Below are 21,655 nucleotides of genomic sequence, written 5' to 3'. Positions count from 1 at the left end.
TATAAACATTGCTTTATCAGACATCAGGGAACCATTTACTTTTCAACACTATTTTAGAGGTTCTGTAATTAGAAAGCAGGGATAATAACATAATTATGTGAGATTGCATATGTATTTTAAGTCAGTGTTACAGCTTTTCTGTTCATAATTTACAGGTTACCAAATTACAGAAGATCAATTATTCAGCAGTAGGGATTCTGCCATTCAGTTTTGACAGTTTTGTAAAGATTTCACTAAGGTTTTTCATTTTATATTTAATTTACGTGGGTTAATGAAAATTAAGCAGCAAATGGTAGATTTTATAAGAGAAGTGGAAACAATTTTTGGTCGAAATGGAAGATGGGTGAATAGTACATAGCATTTATAATATTTAAACTAAACTCATCTTTCTGTAGTTTATTTCTTCTGTTATGAGAGAAAATATAAATCTGTAATTCTTTGTATGAAACGTGTAAGCTAGATATCTTTCATAATACAGAAGCTTTCTCATTTTATAACAATAATGCACTACATATATCTATCAGTTATTACATAACTCCAGTTGGTTCTGGAATGACACTCATATTCAAATACGTTAGTCCTTATGTGGAGATATGTATAAATATTTACTCTGAGAGTGATATATAAAGATACACATAGGGCCAGATGCAGTGGTTCACGCCTGTAATCCCAGTACTTTGGAAGGTAGAGGCCACTGGACTGCTTGAGCCTAGGAGTTTGAGACCAGCCTGGCCAACATGACGAAAACCCGTGTCTACAAAAAAATACAAATATTAGCCGGACCTGGTGATGCGTGCCTGTAGTCCCAGATACTCAGGAGGCTGAAGGTAGGAGGACTGCTTGAGCCCAGGAGGTAGAGGCTGCAGTGAGCCAAGATCCTGCCACTGACTCCAGCCTGGGAAAAAGAGTAGTACTGTGTCTCAAACAAACAATTGGCCAAGTATGGTGGTACGCACCTGTAGTCCCAGCTACTAGGGTGCTGAGGTGTGAGGATCACTTGAGCCTAGAAGGTAGAGGTTGCAGTGATCCCAGATAGTGCCACCGCACTCCAGCCAGGCGGCAGATTGAGACTCCTGTCTCAAAAAAAAACAAAAAACAAAAAACCTGACTTTAATTGAGTATTGCTACCAAATATATACTTTGAAAGATTATGTACATGTTATTTGAAAGATTATGTGTTTTTTTTTTTCTGTTTCTAAGTGCCAATTGTGTACTTAATAGGGCAAAAATGGTAAAAAATCAATTTTAGGGGATTTTTCTGTAGCCTTTTAAAATTGTAAAGTATAAAATATATACAACAAACTAGGCAAATATAACATTTTACATTATTATCACATCATAGTAAAACTAATTTTCACCTAAATCAAATGTATTGTAGATAAAAATCAAGACATCTAAGACACATCAGTGAAATTCAGGAAGATCCTAACTAGGTTTTTAAGACAGTAAGTCCTGGCCTTGTATTTATTAAACATATCCAATATACACAATACTTTGTGGATGGTGCCCCAGCTCATACATTGTGGCTTCTGCTAAGACAGAAATAGCCAGCTTTCAGGTAAAATAAATCTATTTGATTTATTCCTGACCAAAATTATGATTCATATTGGTTGCCACTCTCTTTAAAATATTTAATATTTATCTGTCAAATTGAATTAATCAAACTTGCTATATGATGGTCCAGTCATGGGCTTGCATTAGAGATACTCTTTACCTAACTTGCATTCTCATATAATCCATACAAATGCTGATAACCATGCACATGATCACCAGAAATTAAGTAAGAAACCAAGAAATAAAGCATTAACAATGTATAGATTCATCAATTTATAAACATTGCTAAATAAGGGTTTGGAATAAATTATTCAAAATTTATGGTTCGGAAAGTATTTCTGTGATTCTGAGATTGTTTCAGAGGAATTGATAAAAATCCCCGTTAGTTTTGCATGTTTTACAGTTCAGCAGAGTTACCTAATAAATTAAACATTTTTCTGTTTATACGATTTTGCTTGTGTGTATGTTTTTCTAGCAATTTCCTGTGGGATTCCTAAAGCTCCAACAAATGGAGGAATACTAACAACAGACTATTTGGTAGGAACGCGAGTTACCTATTTTTGTAATGATGGATATCGATTGTCATCCAAAGAACTCACTACAGCTGTATGCCAATCAGATGGAACATGGAGCAATCATAACAAGACCCCTCGCTGTGTTGGTATGTGTGTCAAGGGAATTTCATCACTTGTTTTTCTCTTGGTATTTTATATACCTGAAATTTTATGTATTTTAGAATTATAAAAACCAATCCCTAAACTGAAATGTGATGTCTAAGTCAGAAATAAAAGTTAAGTAAGCTATCTTGTACAATGAAGTACTAGAAGACAGTACAAGGTCTTTTCCATCATTTTTGAAAACCTCAGAATATTTATGTCAAAAAAGGCACTTTTATTTTATACAATGATGTTTTATTTTGTAAAAAGTCATCCTTTAGTCAACATGTGTTTTCAGTACATGGCCCCTTGAGAAAATTTTTAAAGACTGTGTTAATAAAATTATATTTTGACATATTTCACTCTGATTTTATAAGGATAAATAATGTTGCAAAAATTATCCATAACTTTAAACTTTTGTTGATATTCTTCTGTTTACTTACACTTAGAAGAGTTCCTATTGCTGTCACTATTACTTCACTAGGTAAATAAGTTTACATAATGATAAGACATTAATTCTGGTAAAGATTTGGTAGCAAAAAATAGAAAATATTGATGTGAATAAACTCTTGAATTTTCTCTATATTTCGATTATTTTTTCCCATTTAGTACTAGCATTTCCACTTAGTTGTGATTTCATTTAAAATGAAGATTGTTAAGTTGTTCGCACTCTCAGCATAGGTTTCTAATAAGGCTTCTACTTACCTTGAAAAAGTTTTGAATTAGCTAAAGTTGATATCACTACTCCTGCACAAAAAGGCCATTCACATCAAAAAAATTTCCTCAAAATATAGTCTTTTCTAAACTTATAAAGAAATAAGGGAGTAGAGGTAAGCCAACAACTGGGATTCTAAGTAGGTAGAATAATAAGTACAAGATTGAATTGTGAAACCATTGAGTGTGTTCCAGACTGCCAGCAATACCATATAGCTAGGGGAATGGAAAATATCAACATGCAAAAGAAATAAAGAACAAATGCTAAAGGACCTTGTATAGTGCAAGAGTAAGTGAATTAGGTCAGTGGAGATGTAAAGAATGGAATAGACGTTGAGATATAGTGATTTGTTAGCAATTACACCCTTTGGTTTTTGTATAGTTGTTACATGTCCAAGCATCAATTCCTTTATCTTGGAACATGGAAGATGGCGAATTGTGAATGGCTCCCATTATGAATACAAAACCAAAGTAGTTTTCAGCTGTGACCCTGGTTATCATGGACTAGGTCCTGCCTCCATCGAATGTCTTCCTAATGGTACTTGGAGTTGGAGAAATGAAAGACCATATTGCCAAAGTAAGTATACACTCTGCTAAACTTATTTCATAAGCTATGTTTGGTTATCGAATTGTTTGAATCAGTTCCTTTCATAAACACATTAGATCAATAATTGGATGACATTACTAATATGGTCATTTATTCTCGTTACGTTTTTAAATTTTCTAACTATGTTTCTATGTATTAGTAAATGCTTTTCTAGCAAATAGAAAAACATGGGCTTTGGATTAAGAAATCTAGTGTTTGAATTGTTGATCTATTACCTACTTTAACAATGAAGTAATGATTACTTACTACTTGACAGACACTGCTTTTAGTCCTTTATATGTTTTATACTCATTTGGTTAAAAAAAAAAAAAAACCTTTGCCCCAGATGTAATCATTCTATTAAAGTCAGAGAGCCTATAAATGATAGAGAAATGATATTTGACCAAGTAGCCTGACTAAAACCCTTGACTTTTTATCATGTTATATCATGTTTATTCTCTCTGATTCCAAATTCTAAAACTAGAAAATCTTAAAACTAGAAAATTATAACACCTGTCATGTAGAGTTACTGCAAACATTTAATGGTATGACACAATTGAAATACCAGCTATAACCACATCCTCAATAAATATTATTGAACCAAATTGAGCAGTTAAGGCGTTTTATTTCCATACATTTTTATAATATAAATGGCCAGTATCTAATATACATAAGCTAACAGAACATAGGATATTCAGGTGAAATATCTTGAACTCCCTTTCTTACATTCATTTATTGTCTGTTTTGTTTCAGGAAATATGCTAGGCGAAAATTCAGTCTTTTAATTAGCGTCCAACACAACTCTATGGTATATATTGCATAGAGACCCATGATTTATAGACAAACTAATAAAGAGATCAAAGGTCTACCTAGGGTTATTATGATTAAGAAGTTTAACGTAGCAGACAACTATCTTATGTGTAATAAGTACACAAGTATCTGATATTATTTTATTTATGAATATTCACTGATTTGAAATTTATTTTTTGAATCTCTATATCAGTATAGAATTTTTCGGTTGCCCTGTGTTCCAAGATAATCACATTAATGAATTAAAGTATTAAAAATATATTTCTAAATTATATTTAATATTGTAAAAATGTGCCATCATCTGTATTTTTTTTTGTTGTTTTTGTTTGTTTGTTTGTTTGTTTTTTGAGAAAGAGTCTTGCTCTGTCTGCCAGGCTGGAGTGCAGTGGCGCGATCTCAGCTCACTGCAACCTCTGCCTCCCAGGTTCAAACAATTCTGTCAGTCTCTGCAGTAGCTGTGATTGCAGGTGCCTGCCACCACGCCTGGCTAATTTTTTTCTGTATTTTAGGTAGAGTTGGGGTTTCACCATGTTGGCCAGGCTGGTCTGGAACTCCTGACCTTAAGTGATCTGCCCTCCTCAACCTCCCAAAGTGGTGAGATTATAGGCATGAGCCACTGCGCACAGCCTGTATTTCTAAATTTTTGTACTAGTCCTCCAAGTTTTTTTCCCAGGATTTTTCTCTGACTGCAGACTCCTTGTTTTTTCCAAATTATTGTTTAAAAAGAATAATTTGTTTTTAAAGGGCACATGGATAGGAATATTTCAAAGAGCTAGGTAATTATTATCTACAACAGAAACACTCATTTAATCAGGTTTTCAACAAATGTTTGATTCCATTGTGTTAGATTCTTTACTATGTAGAATTGTTTAAAGGATGAATAAGGTTGGGTTACTGCCTACAGGTAAGAATGAGGGAATGGCAAGGAATTTAGGAATTGCAATTAATTGAGAAAAAGAAAAAAATAGTATTTTTTTTCTGGTCCTCCATTTAATCATCTTTTAAATGAAAATAATATAAATATTAGAATTAATAATAATATTAGTATATCAATAATATTAATAGCGACCTCAAATGATTTTTTTTGGGGGGATGAGCTCAAAATCATCAGTACATTTTAAATTTGATATGCAACTCTTGCAAGTTTGAAAGTTTTCTATTTCTCTACCTGACAGCTATCTAAAACTTAAGACTGAAAACCTAGAGAGTTGTTTTGAGCATTACATAAATGAAAACACTATAGCACCTAGTACATAATACAAGCCCAATGAACATGATCTGTTATTGTTTTTATGCTAGAATGACAGTTCATTTGTGGTCTTCAAATATGAAGAAGTCATAAGAGATGCTATATGACCCAGCAAGCCAGTTAAATTTATTTTCTTCAATTTTTTAAAACTTAGAAAAAACAGATGAATTATATCTAATGGATCTCATGAAAATCAAATATTTTACATGTAAAACTCAAACGATAGAGTTCTTGACAAAAATTATATTGTAATTATTATTTTAATGTTGGTTTAGATATGAAGAAACTTTGGCTCAGGTAAGTCAAAGGGCTTGCCCAAAGTTACTTGATAAAGCAGAGAAAGATTTTGGATTAATGAATTATCATCTCTTTAAACTTGTGATGTTTTTCATCCACTATAGCCAGGTTGACTAAGCGAAAAATGCAAAAAAAAAAAAAATGAAAAAAAAAGAACTTTATGTCTCTGTTACTTAGAAGGTTCTATGGGGACTTAAAGAGGGTACATTTTACGTTATGTCATCTCTTTTCTCCCTACTTTCACACTCATTCAAACATGTTTTACAAATGCCAATTTCCTTTGTAAATACATCAAATCATAGGAAGCTCAAAATGTTCAAAGCACAGTTTTGTTACAAGTGCAGCTTGACTATATCTTTAAGGATTTTTATTTATTTATCATTTTAAAGTTATTTCCTGTGGAGAACTACCTACACCTCCAAATGGAAATAAGATTGGAACTCAAACTTCATATGGCTCAACAGCTATCTTTACCTGCGACTTGGGATTCATGCTTGTGGGCTCTGCTGTAAGGGAATGCCTTTCCTCAGGTCTTTGGAGTGAATCTGAAACCAGATGCCTAGGTACAGATTTTTAATTTGTTTTTGTCAAACTTCCCCCTGCCCCTCACCCTTGAAAAGAGGCATCTCTTTTTCCCTAATATGAGATACTAATTTATATTCATTCAGTAAGTATGTTAAAAACCAGAAAATACTTATCTTTAAAAATGGCTCATGATAGAAAAGCTACTAAACGGAATAATCAAATAGCATTCCTAGTGAAATCTAAGGAGAGACACATTTTCTTCCAGGCATGGTGAAAATATAATGGTGAAAACTAATTGCTGAAAACTGTATGCCTGCTTACTCAGCTGGATTAATCGCTGTAGCTATTAAGTCATTCTAAACCATAGTCAATTCTCTTTTCACCTATTTGCTTAAGGTAATGACTGAAGAAGATAAACAATGTAATGTGTGTATTTAAGTACCTTTCTTCCGTTTTATTTCATAAGATTTCAACATGCATAAAACTAATTTCTATTAAAATTAAAAAAAAATTTTTTGAACCTGATTTTAGGCAATTAGGATGTTTTCCCCTTAGAGTATTTATTATAAAAAATCTTCAGTTAAAGAAACTGAACTAGTTCGTTCTTCTTACCCTGCCTCTTTTATTATGAAAATATTATATTTTATGCTTTATCTCCTTTTTCAAAGATTTCAATAATTTATTTAATATTAAGAAAATAGTATGATTTATGCTATTTATGCTTTGTTTTCTCTAAAATGATTTCAAGATCTGACAGCAAGTATTGAGTTAGGTAATAATGAAAATTTTTCTAATGATTATTCACTTATCTGTTGGAAGTAAGGCAAGATCTTTTTGTTTACGAATTTAAAAATTGCTGATTATCATGAATAGAGTACGGCAAAATTTGTACAGTGTTTTTGTCTTTAAAATATTACTGTTTAAGAATATGACACATGGCAGAAAAGTTTATACTTATATATTGTGTGGCTAATAAGCTTGAAAATATTCATAGAAATACAATCATTATTTGAAATTTCAAATGGTATAGTTAGAAGTTTTGGTTAAAATGTCTTTTTTCTCCTTCTCAGGCACATTTGTTAATAGTTATGCTTGGAAGCCCAGCAACAATTTCTTTATAAGAGCACACATATTTGAATATACACAGGGAACTCCTGAGTCTCTGGGGTCATTAATGGACCAGGCTCTGGCTAGGGATGGAGTTCCTCTCAGACTAGTGTCTTTCCTCTTCCTCTTTAAGTCTCACCTAGACAGAGCAGAGTGGTGAGGATAGGAGTCATGATGTCTCCCATTGGATAAGGTTGGGCATATGGATGAGGCCACTTCAATGATTATTGAAGAAAACAGAAAATAGTTAATGAGTTAAATGATTATGTATTAATATGTGATTATATAATCAAATAAAAACTCAAAAAAATAAAAAATCTTAATAGTTTGTAAACTGATTTTGGTTGTACTAATTTCAATTACAGATTACTTAGTTTACTTATGCATTTTTAAGTAAACTTAGTTTACATATAAATTTTTAAATTTATATATAATTATATAGAAATATATATTTATACATACTCAAGTATTTAAATTATATATTACATGTATCTTTAAATATGTATACATTTATAAATAAATATATATTTAAAATACTATATTTAAATGATATATAATTTAAATACAATATTTAAAATATTTAAATATATATTAAAATATTATATTTAAAATGAACCATATTTAAAATATAGTTAAAATAAAACTAAATTTTAAAAGCATTTTAAATATACATATAAATTTGAAAATACTATATTTTATGGCCATGTGCTCTCATGAATTGTTATTGTGTATTATATATTATTTAATATTGTATATAGTATGTGGTTTTATTCACCTACTTAGAATCTTGATTCTGTTCTCTGGAAAGACAGGGCATAACAGGAATATTTATAAGAAAATATTGCCTCTTAGTCTAAGGAGACAAGATCATCCATTGTAGAGAATACAGTGTTTATATACAATGAAATGCAAAAGGATGTTGGTAGGAGGAAAGTACAGTTACCAAACAAGCAAATCCCAGAATATTACACTGTGAATTGACCTTAAGGTTTCATTCTTCTCAACTAGTTTGTGTAACCTCAGACACTTTTAGCTTAGAACGGCCATGAGAATGTGCTTATAATTGTTTCTCTAAGTATGGTGCATTTATTCCTGCCTTCCTAGTATTTTATTATGAATTTTTCAATTAAAGGAATTGACAGTGAACACCCATATGCCTACCACCTAATTCTACAATTAGCATTTTTTTCATATTTGCTTATCACATATCTATCCATGTTTCCAGGCCTCCATCAATCCATTAATTTATTTTTTTGATGCATTTTGAAATAAGTTGTAAACATCAGTATACTTTGTTGCCAAATATTAAGCATGCATACCATTAGCTAGAGTTCAGTATTTGTTCAAAGTTTTTTTTAAACTCGGCAAAATTTGTATGTAGTGAAGTACATAGATCATAAGTTCAGTTAGATCAGTTTTGACAAATGTATACATCAGTGTAACTAAACCACTATAAAGACATAGAATATTGCCATTACCTCAGAAAGTTTTCTTATGCCCCTTCACGGTCACTGTGCAACTCTCCTCCTCCATAACCTGAGGCAGTAACTATTTCGATATTTTCACCATATATTCATTTCCCCTGTTCTAGAAATTCATTAAATGGAATTGAAAATTGTGCACTCTTTTGTATAAGGCTTCTTTTATTCTCTTTTATCTATGCTGTTGTGCATATCTGTAATTTGTTCCTTTTATTGCTCAATAGGATTCTATTGTACAAATATGCCACATTTCAGCCATTCTCTTTTTGATGGATACATGGGCTATGTCCAGTTTTAGGCTATTATGAATAAAGCTGCTATGCATGCTCATGTAAAAGTCTTTTTGTGGACATACGCATTCATTTCTCTTGAATACTCACAACAGAATACATGTGGGAGAGTTCTAGTTGTCTCCCATTCTCTCCAGCATGTGGTATAGCCAACTTTCTTTTTCTCTCCATTCTGTTGGATGCATAAAGGTATCCTATGATATTTTAATATTTTTTGTCTTAATGAATACTAATGTTAAGCACAGTTTTTCATAGGCTTATTGGCTATTTGTAAATTTTCCTTTGTGAAGTGGTAAAGTATATTGACTTGCCTTTTTGTTATGAATTGTAGGAGTTCTTTACATATTCTTGTTACAAGGCCTTCATCATTATGTGTTTTATAAGTATTTTCTCTTATTCTATGACTTGCCTACTCATTTTTTAATAACATCTTTTGACAACGAGGAATTTTCAAGTTTGGTAAAGTCTATCATTTTTGTTTGTTTTACTTTCTACTAGAAGCTTTATAGTTTTAGCTTTAACTTTTATATCTCCAATGTTATTTTTAATTCCTATGTGTTACATAGTAGCATTGAGGAGCTTTTTTACTTGCACTTTGTATCTTGCACTATTTATTGAAAAAACTTCATAATAATTATTGAAATCATGTATGTAAATCCTCTAAATTTGTTCATAATTTTCAAAATCACTTTGGATACCATAACACTTTGCGGTTTCATATAAATCTTATATTAGTTTATGAAACTCTACAAAGAGATTCTGGTGGGATTGAATCCTTTCATCAGTTTGGGGAAAATTGGCTTCTAAAAACATTGAGTCTTGTGATCCATGAACAGAGTACATTTGTTTGGGTCTTTACTTATTTTTTTTTTTTTTTTTTTTTTTTGTGCAATGGCAACATTTTGTATTTTTAGCATAGAATGTGCTATTGCTAAATTTATTCCCCAGAATGTTTTACTATTGTAAGTAAAAAGTAAAATTGTTCTTTTTTTATTTTTTAGATAGGGTCTTGCTATGTTGCCCAGGCTGGTCTTGAAATTGTGGCCTCAAAAGATCCTCCTGCTTTAGCTTCCCAAAGTGCTGGAATTATAGGCATAAGCCACTGTGCCCAACTAAAGTTGTTTATCTAAATTACATTCTCCAATTGTTTGCTGTCAGTATATAAAATACAATTATTCAAAATATTTACCTAATATTCTACAACCTTTCTAAATTCACTTACTAGTTTAAGATGTTTTAAAAATATAATTTTCTACGTACGTATTACCTGAGTATAGAACAGTTTCACTATTTTGTTTCCCAACATTGTGCTGTTTTTCTTCTTTGTATTAATGTATTGCACTGGAGGTTTTTTTAACAATGTCTTTGTTGGGTTGAGAATGTTCCCTATATTCCTAATTTGTTGTCAGTTTTTAATCGTGAATAGGCACTGCATTTTGCTACATACTTTTTCTGCATAGATTGAAATAATTACATAGAATTTTTTCTCTTTTATTATGTCAAAATTACAGTAATTTTTCATATTTAGCCAAACTTCATTTCTGGATAAATCCCAGATAATCATGATGTATTATCATTTATATGTCACTAGACTGATTTTCTAAAATTTTATTAAGGAGGTTTGTATCTCTGTTTATGAAGTACTTTGGTCCTTTATAATCATTTAAGGACTTTGGTACTTTTTAATTTTTTTTTTTTTTTTTGAGGCTTTACTATTGGGGTTAATGATTACTTCATAAAATAATTTCAAAGGTGATTTTTTCTTTTCTATTTTCTAAAAGAGTTTGCATAAGAATTATTTTCCCCATTAAAAGCTTGAATTTCCCAGCCAAAAAAAAAAATCCGTGGGAAGGTTTTTGTTTAAGAATTCACATATTTTAATAGATAAAAACTATTAATATTTTTATATTTTTACCTTGTGTTAGTTTTGGGGCGAGTTATAATTTTCACAGAATTTTTTTTCTTTTCTTCTGAAGTGTTAAAATGTATTGGCATAAAGCTGTTTTTAGCATTCCCTTATTCTTTTAATTTCTTAAGGCTTTATAGTGATATCACTTCATTCCTGTTATTGACAATTTTATTCTCTCCTTTTTGGTGTTAATAGGGTTAGCTAAGAGTTTAATAATTTTGTTGCTATTTTTAGAGAAAGAATTTTTAACTTAATGTTCTCTATTATTCGTAATCTTAAATATTTCCTTCTGTCTACTTACTTTGGCTTTATTTTTACATCATTTTGCTCCTTGCTTCTTCTTAACATGGAGTTTTAGGTCATTGCTTTTATATCTCTATTTCTTCTACTAAAAGCACTGAAACTTATTAATTTCTTTAATAAGTAATGCTTTATCTGTACCTCTAAATTTTGATATATTTTCTTTCTTTTATTTATTTATTTATTTTTTTTTTGAGGTGGAGTCTTGCTCTGTTGCCCAGGCTGGAGTGCGGTGGCGCGATCTGCGCTCACTGCAAGCTCCACCTTCCGGTTCACGCCATTAACCTGCCTCAGCCTCCCGAGAAGCTGGGACTACAGGCGCCTGCCACCATGCCTGGCTAATTTTTTGTATTTTTAGTAGAGACGGGGTTTCATCGTGTTAGCCAGGATGGTCTCAATCTCCTGACCTCGTGATCTGCCACCTCGGCCTCCCAAAGTGCTGGGATTACAGGCGTGAACCACCGTGCCCAGCCTATATTTTCATTTTTACACATTGAGATATTTTATAATTTCTTCAAGACCCAAGTGTCACTAGACACGTGTCTTCTTTTAATTTCCATATATTTGTTGTTTTGCTAAATATTTCATAGTTACCTTTATGTCATATAGTTATAATTGAATTATTTGTTGCTTGCTTTTAAGACAACTTTAAAGGTTTGCTCATGTTCCACATGTATATAAATATACAAATAAAACAAATCACAGTATTAAAAATATTACTTTATAACGTATTTCAGCGGGTCATTGTGGAATTCCAGAACTGATTGTGAATGGTCAAGTCATTGGAGAAAATTATGGATATAGAGACACAGTTGTATATCAATGTAATCCTGGTTTTCGATTGATTGGTTCTTCAGTGAGGATATGTCAACAGGATCACAATTGGTCTGGTCAGCTCCCATCCTGTGTGCGTAAGTAAGCATGGCAAAAGCAATTAGAGACCTCTGATCTTTGGAATAATTCTAGTTTTTGTTAGGCAAGATGAATATATATATTATGTTGTTATATATATCAATATAAAGTAAATTTCCACAATCCAATTTGATACTGCTATGCAAAAGTCTTTAAAGTGGAATATGTTCAAGAGAATTTCAGTTATATTTTATCATGAAGATAATAAATTAAATTTAGCTCTTCTCATATTTAATATAAATATATAATATTGATAAATTAATATTCTTATATGGAAGACACATTATCAACACATTTGTAATTATAAGGGTTTAAATTTCTAGAGACCACTGTGTAGCTGTATCAAGGTTTGTTACTATGTGATATTACAGAGCTTTTTATAGTGGAAAATATTTTGGATAAATATTATCTAACAATTATGATACTACTGTCATGACATCAAGATTATATACTGATGAAGCACAGTGGGGAATATATTATCATTAGGCATGACATGAAGAACCTTTGCTCTCATTTCAGGTCCTCTGATGATTATGTGAGCTAATGCAGTGTTTAATCTCTCTGGGCCGTAATTCCCTTATATAGAGAGTGTGTGGTTGAAGATGTTTATCATTATGTCATCTTTTAACCTCAAAATGCATTGCATTTTTAAATATATCAAGATTACACATATGTAACGTAGCTATATTTTGTCTGAAAAAAATTAAAAATTATTTATGAGGTTGCGAAGGCATATGAATGATATCATGAACTCTGGGGACTAGGGAGAAAGAGTAGCAGAGGAGTGATAGATGAGAGATTACACATTGGGTACAGTGTATACTCCTCAGGTGATGGGTACACCAAAATCTCAGAAATCACCACTAAAGAACTTATCCATGCAACTAAACACCACCCGTTCCTCAAAAACTATTGAAATAATTTTTTAAAAAGCAGATAAAAAGAAAATAAATAAAAGTTTATTTTAAAGCACTGTTTACACTATTTTAAAATTCATACAAAACATATGAATATATGTAATTTTAGAAATATTTTAAAAAGATCTCACCAGTTCGACATATATCCATGTGATCTTTTAGGTTGATTAGATATGAATTCACAGATGAAGAATAAAGTGTATTTTGAAATATCTTTTCATTATTTCTTAAATATACCTGCTGTGCTTTGTGGTTTTAATGGATCTCTTCCTATATGTATGTTGTGGATTTGGCCATTGTGCACTTATTATGACTGCTATATTATGAAAATAAAAATAGAGCTGAATAATGATAAACTCTAGTACATCTCAGAATCCCCGTAAGTATTTAGTGTTTCAGATCACAATCTATCCTACTTTGGATCTTAAAGTCAACTACATTTTTCTTATATTTTTCACCTAATAATATCCATCTCCAGATAACGGACATTTATATTAAAATTATTATTAGTAAATAAGTACTGTAAATATGTTGTAATTATAATAGGATCATAGGATAAAGATTTTGGAAGTGTCAGATAAACAATACATGGGACTTTTAGTATGCGTTCACAGGAAATATTTCATTTAATCTGTGACCAATTGCATGTATACTTATAAATTCGGTCATAATACTGTTTTGATCCAATCCACAGAAACGTATAGAAATTCTAGTTTCATGGTAATGATAATAGGATAATAGAACATCTAGTTTCATGGTTATGATAATAGGATAATAGAATATCTAGCTGACAATGAAAATCACTTTCCACCCCTACACCCCCCCCAAGCAAATTGATTGTCTGATGATTTAAAGACAACAATATCCTGCTTGTGTCTGCCCTGGATATGTTCTTTTTCATTTATATTCAAGCATAGCCAATTAATACCACTGTTTTTCTTGTTGAATAATTGAGACTATAAATGAGAATTGGCCCTTAGGGTAAAACTGGTTTCTTTATTGATAATTTTAAACCAGAATAAGATGCAGTTAAATTCCCAAATGGGTAGGTTGACATTAACAATACAGCTGAAAAATAATTGCTCTTGGGTCATTTCCTAAGTACTGAAAGTGACTGTGGTCGTTTCCTGTGCCCAATTAGGAAGCACTATTACTGAAGTTGCTCTGATTAATAGAGTGAGATAATGCAATAAAACAGTTCATAGAAATAGTGTTTGGGGAAAGCCAGCACTATGTAAAATTTATAGTGGGACACAGCATTAAAAGAACCTAATTAAGAATATTATTTCCAAGAAAAATTATATTATCAAATATCAGTGATGAAGAAACCAGTAAGATTGATTTAGAGAATATTTTGAGACTATCTCAAAATATTAATGAATATCCTAATGCAGCCTTTGTGTATCATTTTCTATTTTCTACATTATGTAGTCACATTAATTTACTTCACAAGCACACATTTGCTTATCAATCTATTATTCATAAAAATTGGTTGTTCAAATAATATTGAAAGCACTATTTCAAAATTAAATGCAAAAAACTGCCTTTAAATATCCTCAATTATTAACTAGACAAGGAAAACTGGTGCAGTTTTGTTCTTTTCTACTTTTTAACTTTGTTTTTTAAAGCACAAGATCTCATTCTGTCATCTAGTCTGGAGTGCAGTGGCAAGATCATAGCTCACTATGATATATATGCATAGCTATGATCATGCTCACTACAGCCTTAACTCTTCTCCTCAAGCAATCCTCCCACCCCGGCCTCCCAAAGCACTGAGATTATAGGCATGAGTCACCACACCTGGCTAGTTTTGTTCTTTTCTGCTATTAGGTATGGACATGAACTTTAATTATTCCCCAGATTTCTTTGCATTTCAATACTCTGCTCTTTGCCTCCCCAATAAAGTAGAGAGAAAGGATGAAATAGGTACCGTGAAACTTTAAATATCTATGTACCACTTGCATAAAATTATCACAATTTTAAATAATTTTCTATTTACTAATATAATCATGCTGTTAGACTATTTTGACATTCTACTTTGTTCATCTACATTAGTAAATGTACTTTCCGTATATTTCCAGATAAAAAGTAGTCTTCTTTCTACTTTGTTTGAAATGATTAAGTATAATCAATAATGCAATAACTGATAACTAAATATTTTTTTTCTGTGTTTCCTTCCCTGTCCTCCTGCCACATCTTATTAGCTGTTAGCTGTGGTCACCCTGGTAGTCCAATTTATGGAAGAACAAGTGGAAATGGGTTCAACTTTAATGATGTGGTAACATTCTCATGCAATATTGGGTATCTTATGCAAGGGCCAACAAAGGCACAGTGCCAGGCCAACAGACAGTGGAGCCATCCTCCACCTATGTGCAAAGGTAAATGTCTAAGTATATTCCCATTTGGTGGCATGATAATAATATTCACATAAACATCAGTGACACACTTAAAACAGCTTGAGCAGAATAGTAAAAAGTTTTTATCTAATAAAACAAAAAGCTTTAATACTGATGTCATCTCATTAACAATGCTTTCCTTTTTCTAAATTTGTAACATATTTTTAAAAGTTAAAAGTGGTAGAGTTAATTTCTAACTTTCTTTTGTAACTTATATTTTTAAAAGTTAAAAGTGGTAGAGTTAATTTCTAACTCTCTTATTTGTATCTGTTTTGTGACTGCATATAAAAAGTAATTGAGATTATTTTTACTTGCAATTTGCTTTGGCATTTATTTTCTTTTTATTTTTCTGAAAACTATATGTGGGCCTGGCTTGCCAGTACACCTGTATTGAGGCTTTATTCATTTTTTTAATCTATAGAAACAGATTAAGGAGAACTCTTCGATGTTTTTCCAGTTTGCAAAGAAGTATATTTCATATTGTATGACAAAATACAACCTAATTATCATTCTCCTGCATGTTGTTTTCTTACAGTTCAGCTATAGCTTAAAATATGTCATTTTTAAAATTCGTACTTAGCGCAATACTTACAAAGTTGCTATTTTCCTAATTGTTGCCAAATTTTTTTCTTTCTTCTGTATTTTCTACCACATAGATGTCAGTCCATTTTCTAGATAATCCATGGGATTAATTTTATTATTGGAATCTGGTTGTTTGAATAAATTTACTTTTGAAACTAAGTATGTACATTTCTAATATAAATCTATATAGGTATATGTATATTATTCCAAACATATGTTTCAAAATTTGTCATTTGTTTAGTGGTCAACTGTTCTGATCCTGGAATTCCAGCCAATTCTAAAAGAGAAAGTAAAATAGAACATGGAAATTTTACTTACGGCACTGTGGTATTCTATGACTGCAATCCTGGATATTTTTTATTTGGATCTTCAGTTTTGATATGTCAACCAAATGGACAATGGGACAAACCTTTACCAGAATGTATCAGTAAGTAGATAATGTGAATTGTTTCTTGAGAACATGTCATGGAAACCATAGGAATGTTTATCATCTTTATAAAATGACCTAAAGATATATATCACAGAGAAGCATATTGATTTTATTGTTTTACTGTTTTGAAATTATACTTTTCTATATTTTGCAAATTCAATGTCCAAATGTAATTTTCTTAAAATTAATGTGATAAATATTTATCTATCATTCTTTGATTTTGCACTTTGGAGCATATAAAATATGAAAAGTAGTCATATTTCCTACTTTACAATATTATCGTCTGTAAGAGGCAACTACACTTTTATTCTGTACTAATATTTAATATTTCATTTAAGGCAAAATTAGTCTTAAACATCCATCATGGATTCAGAATACATGAAGATTTACACAAAGGTGTGACTTAAAACTTATTGACCTTAAATATTTGTCATATAGAGACACATATACTTGTTAATGCAATAAATGTTAATATACATCATCTTTCTAGTCAGTGAATATCTAATAAGTGCATTTTGTTATATGTTATGATAGGAGTTGTAGAATGTACATAAAATAGATTACAGCCAAGATGCTTAAAGTAACACACGTAGTGAGAAAAATAATTTAGCAGTTATAAATCAAACTTCTGTGAAGGCATAGAGGAGTGAACATAAATTCTAGCAATTCAGTCAATTGATAGGCCTCAAATTGAACTAGATCTCAAACAGTTGGTGAGTCTTGGACTTGACAGGGAAGAGAAGAACAATTTCATAGACTGAATGAATAGCGTGTGAAGAAATCGTTCATTTTTGGCAAATAATTTTTGGTTTTATTAAATTGCTAAATAAAATTATTTTATGATTATGCTTCATTTAGAGGATTTTTTTATGTTCATGAGGTGTACTTTTATGAACATTTTGTGACAACATTCATGTACTAATGAAGAAACAACACTTTTTGCTGTGTCTGTAAAATTTGATTCTATGCATATAGTTCAGTAATTTGGCCTGCTGATTAAAATTCATTTGACTTATTTGTGTTGACTGGTCTAATTATTTGAATAATTTACTTACTTATTCTTATGTAGCTACCACATTAAAGTTAAAAATCTCTTCATAGGACTTGTAAACCTGAAGTTCTTCAGGTGTTCTGAGCTCTCATATGTTTTTTGACTTATCATTTCCTATAGCTCTCCCTGGTAGAGTATTATATACTGAAAGGTTTTATTAAGTTTTTGTGTCCTCATGTGCTGTATGATACTCTAGAGATATGTGACACTCAGTATTTCTCTGAGTACAACTAACAGGGGACACATGTTAAATTCTGAAACTACCTATCACTCATAAAGAATATTCTACAATGTATTGACTTTTGATTCTGCTATGAGTAGCAGTTTTAGTTTATAAGCCACTGAGTATTGTCTTTTTACAGCATAATTTATTCATTACTGACTTGAAATGTAATGATTCTAGACTATATATTAAATTGTGAATCACAGATCAATCTTCATTGAATCTCTTGAACCCTCAAGTTCTTTTCATGTAATTTCTGTATTGCTTCACTTTAAATCCACATGGTGTCCTATGTCCTTACTTAGCAAATCCACATTAATCTTCTCCTTAACTTTCACAGATTTTACCAGGAACAGATACAGTTCGAACTCATACACATATATATGTGGACACACACTCATCACTCTCACACGTACAGATTTATCATAATCACTTAATTATTTTTAATGCTTACTTAGCTTACAATGTTGCTGTTAAACTCATCCTCGGAATGAGTAAGTTAACAGAACAGCTGCTATAGCTGCAAACTCCACTTTGTTTTTAAAAAGACACCTTCAACATAGATGTTTGATTTCTGGAGGCTTTAGATGTTTCAGCAGAACATTTACTTCTGGTATGTTCTATAAACATGCTGGTATAGGTTGTTCGATAGGAGATATAAAAAAATTTTATATTTAATAATTATGTATTGTAGTGATTGACTGTGGACACCCTGGCGTTCCTCCTAATGCAGTCCTGTCTGGCGAGAAGTATACTTTTGGGTCTACTGTTCACTATTCCTGCACAGGAAAGCGTTCCCTTTTAGGCCAGTCATCAAGAACCTGCCAATTGAATGGCCATTGGAGTGGATCACAACCTCATTGTTCAGGTACCACTTGGAAAATTGGACAATATGTGTTGGAAATTACATTATTGTTAGTAGTAGTAGTAGCAACGTATACACAAAACAATCTAAAGACTTAAAATATATTTCTCTCTGAAAAATCTCATAAGAAAAGCTGAAACACTGCTTACACATTACTGGAATATGTGTAAGGCTATAGAAATGCAGGGTACTGATGTTGTAGATGATAAATTACAAGTTTGTGTTTTGAACTGTGTTGCTAATTTAAAGAATTTATGGTTTTAGGATGCTACACTGTATGAAGTGCTTTTGTTCGTTAAAATGGTGAAACTATTCAAGCTAAAGTATCTATCCCATTTTAGCAGATACCACATATAATTTTCCCCAGAAGGCAATATTGTATCAGTGGTTTTCTGTCAGAGTTCAGTTCTGTTTAACTTTCTAAGCAATTGATTACTTTAATGGTATAATTTTAAAATAAAGTCCAAAATGTTGTAAATTGAACTAATCTAATTCATTTTATTAAAGATATTTATCTATCCTAATATTAATAAGTGACATATTGCTTAGAGTTATCTTTGCATAAATCAGTATTAAAGATATTTTAATTAATAATTTGTTCACAGAGTAAGTATTTGGTAAATCTTTTCTGAGATAAACGTTTAAGTTACCACTTTTTTTCAAAAACACCATTTACGTTTTAGATCTATGATGGCTCCCTAGTTGATACTATTTATTTTTACCCATCAACCAGATATTGTGCTTATTTTTCTGCTTTTTCTTTATATTTATATATTGTCCATTGTCTTTACACTACTTTATCTCTGTGGATACCATTCTGATGACTTACTAGGAGTTGTTTTACATTATTTTCACTTTAGAGTTAAAAGCAGTGAAATGGTAAATTAACCCCAAATCTTTTAACTAGTGATTAATCCCTATGAAGTGACTGCCTGGGACTTTGAATGTAATCTACAGATTTAGAAAAACTATCATTTTTAATGTAACTATAAAATTGATTTTATGAGAATTAAAGTCTTATCTTGGAGTGACTCATAGTAAATTAACTCTCAGATAACTGCTTATACATGCGAACACACAGACTCACCCCCCGCCCCCACCCCACAATGTATTAGGAAATTAGGAAACTGCTACTAAATTGAGTAATAAAATGGTACACAGATATTTAAAAGTGAAATACTAATCTTAAAATTTTGTGTGGTTATTAATTTTACATCACATGAAAATAAGGACATATAATGAAGTATTCCAAATACACAAGGCATATAAAAAGGACAAATGGAAAGAACATTTTCAATGCTTATATTTTCAACCCTTCTCTCTCTCTCTCTCTCTTTCTCTCTAGCTCGCTCACTCTCTCTCTCAATGTATATTAACACTATGGCAATTTTGATTAGGATTATTTAAGAAATGATAAAACGACTAGGTAAAGACTGAGTAAATCTTTAACACTAAAATCAAAAGATGAACGCCTAGTTATGAGCAATATTCTTATCAGAAACTTAAGTCAGAGTTTCTAAATTTTGGTCTTTTACATTTTATTTTTATGTTTTCATATACGAGGAATATGCAGTTCATTCATCTTTGATCATTGGTCATTGGTAGAGAAAATAAGAGAGAGAAACCTAGGCTATCAGAACTGTATTATAATATTTACATGTCCTAGCACACCACAGTTCTACTTTAACAAAAACAATAAAAATATTATCAGTAATCAGGAAATTCAGAAAAGGAAACATGCAAATTGCAGAATTCAGTTTTTTTTAAATTTTGGTTTTATGAGTCTGTTGTCATTTGAGTTCATAGTACTGTCAGTTACACATTTTCCATTAGCTTGGTTATTAACTAGGTTTGGAAAAACTTATGAAATATCCTTAACCTATTTAACGTCTCCAAATTCACTGATAAAAAAGTAACACTGTACTCTGCAACTATTTTCTTTTTCATTTACACTTTTTTTTAATGACTGGAGTCAGATAAGAAATATGAATTACAATTTTACTCCATCTGTGCTAAAACACCGCATGCACAAAAACAAATGCCTACCAGGCCCTTGGACTAACTGGTAAACTTAATAAATGTTTATGGGAATTGGTTAACTTGAACTGTACTGCATTGCAGGTGATGCTACTGGGACATGTGGCGATCCAGGTACTCCCGGCCATGGCTCTAGACAGGAAAGCAATTTCAGAACTAAAAGTACTGTACGTTATGCTTGTGATACTGGTTACATCCTTCATGGCTCAGAAGAAAGAACATGTTTAGCTAATGGCAGTTGGACCGGAAGGCAGCCAGAGTGCAAAGGTAATCTCAAGCAGAAATTAAATATATTGCAACTACTGGATTTTAGTGTGTATCTAAATCCAGATGAGTACTACTAGGAAAATTACTCTTACTAGTTTATTCTGCCTGCAACTATGAAATAAAACAGTCGTATTCCCATTATACTGTAACCATCTCCTAAGATAACTATAACCGATAATTTTTTTAAAAAACCCTCATTGGTCATATATATGCAAACATTGTTCACAACATAGCAAATGTTTAGATTTAAAAAGTAATATATATTTGTTAAAAATATTTATTCTTTCCTCTTTACAGTAGTCCCTCCTTTATCCATGGAGAATACATTCCAAGACTTTTAGTGGGAGCCTGAAAACGCAGATACTACCTAACCCTTTATTTCTATGATTTTTTCACACATACCTGTAATAAAGTTTTATTTATAAATTATGCACAGTAGGAGATTAAAACTATAATAGTAAAATAGAACAATTATAGCAATATACTAGAATAAAAGT

General features: G+C 31.2%; 1 protein-coding gene across 10 annotated transcripts in view; it reads left to right on the top strand.

The window, feature by feature from the left end:
- The window catches only part of CSMD3 (CUB and Sushi multiple domains 3), a 1,214,012-nt gene that overhangs the window by 1,128,718 nt on the left and 63,639 nt on the right, over positions 1-21,655 (top strand). For 9 of the 10 annotated variants that reach the window (NM_001363185.1, XM_017013010.2, XM_011516816.3 and 6 more), the window contains 8 exons: positions 2,030-2,215; positions 3,307-3,501; positions 6,256-6,429; positions 12,216-12,389; positions 15,512-15,685; positions 16,527-16,712; positions 18,684-18,857; positions 20,976-21,158. In NM_001363185.1, coding sequence (NP_001350114.1) covers positions 2,030-2,215; positions 3,307-3,501; positions 6,256-6,429; positions 12,216-12,389; positions 15,512-15,685; positions 16,527-16,712; positions 18,684-18,857; positions 20,976-21,158 — 1,446 coding nt within the window. The remainder of the gene's footprint in view (positions 1-2,029; positions 2,216-3,306; positions 3,502-6,255; positions 6,430-12,215; positions 12,390-15,511; positions 15,686-16,526; positions 16,713-18,683; positions 18,858-20,975; positions 21,159-21,655) is intronic. The other variant, NM_052900.3, reaches the window with a different exon arrangement.

Source organism: Homo sapiens, chromosome 8 (assembly GCF_000001405.40).
Source record: "Homo sapiens chromosome 8, GRCh38.p14 Primary Assembly".
Classification (NCBI taxonomy): domain Eukaryota; kingdom Metazoa; phylum Chordata; class Mammalia; order Primates; family Hominidae; genus Homo; species Homo sapiens.
This window is presented reverse-complemented; position numbering and strand designations above follow the sequence as displayed.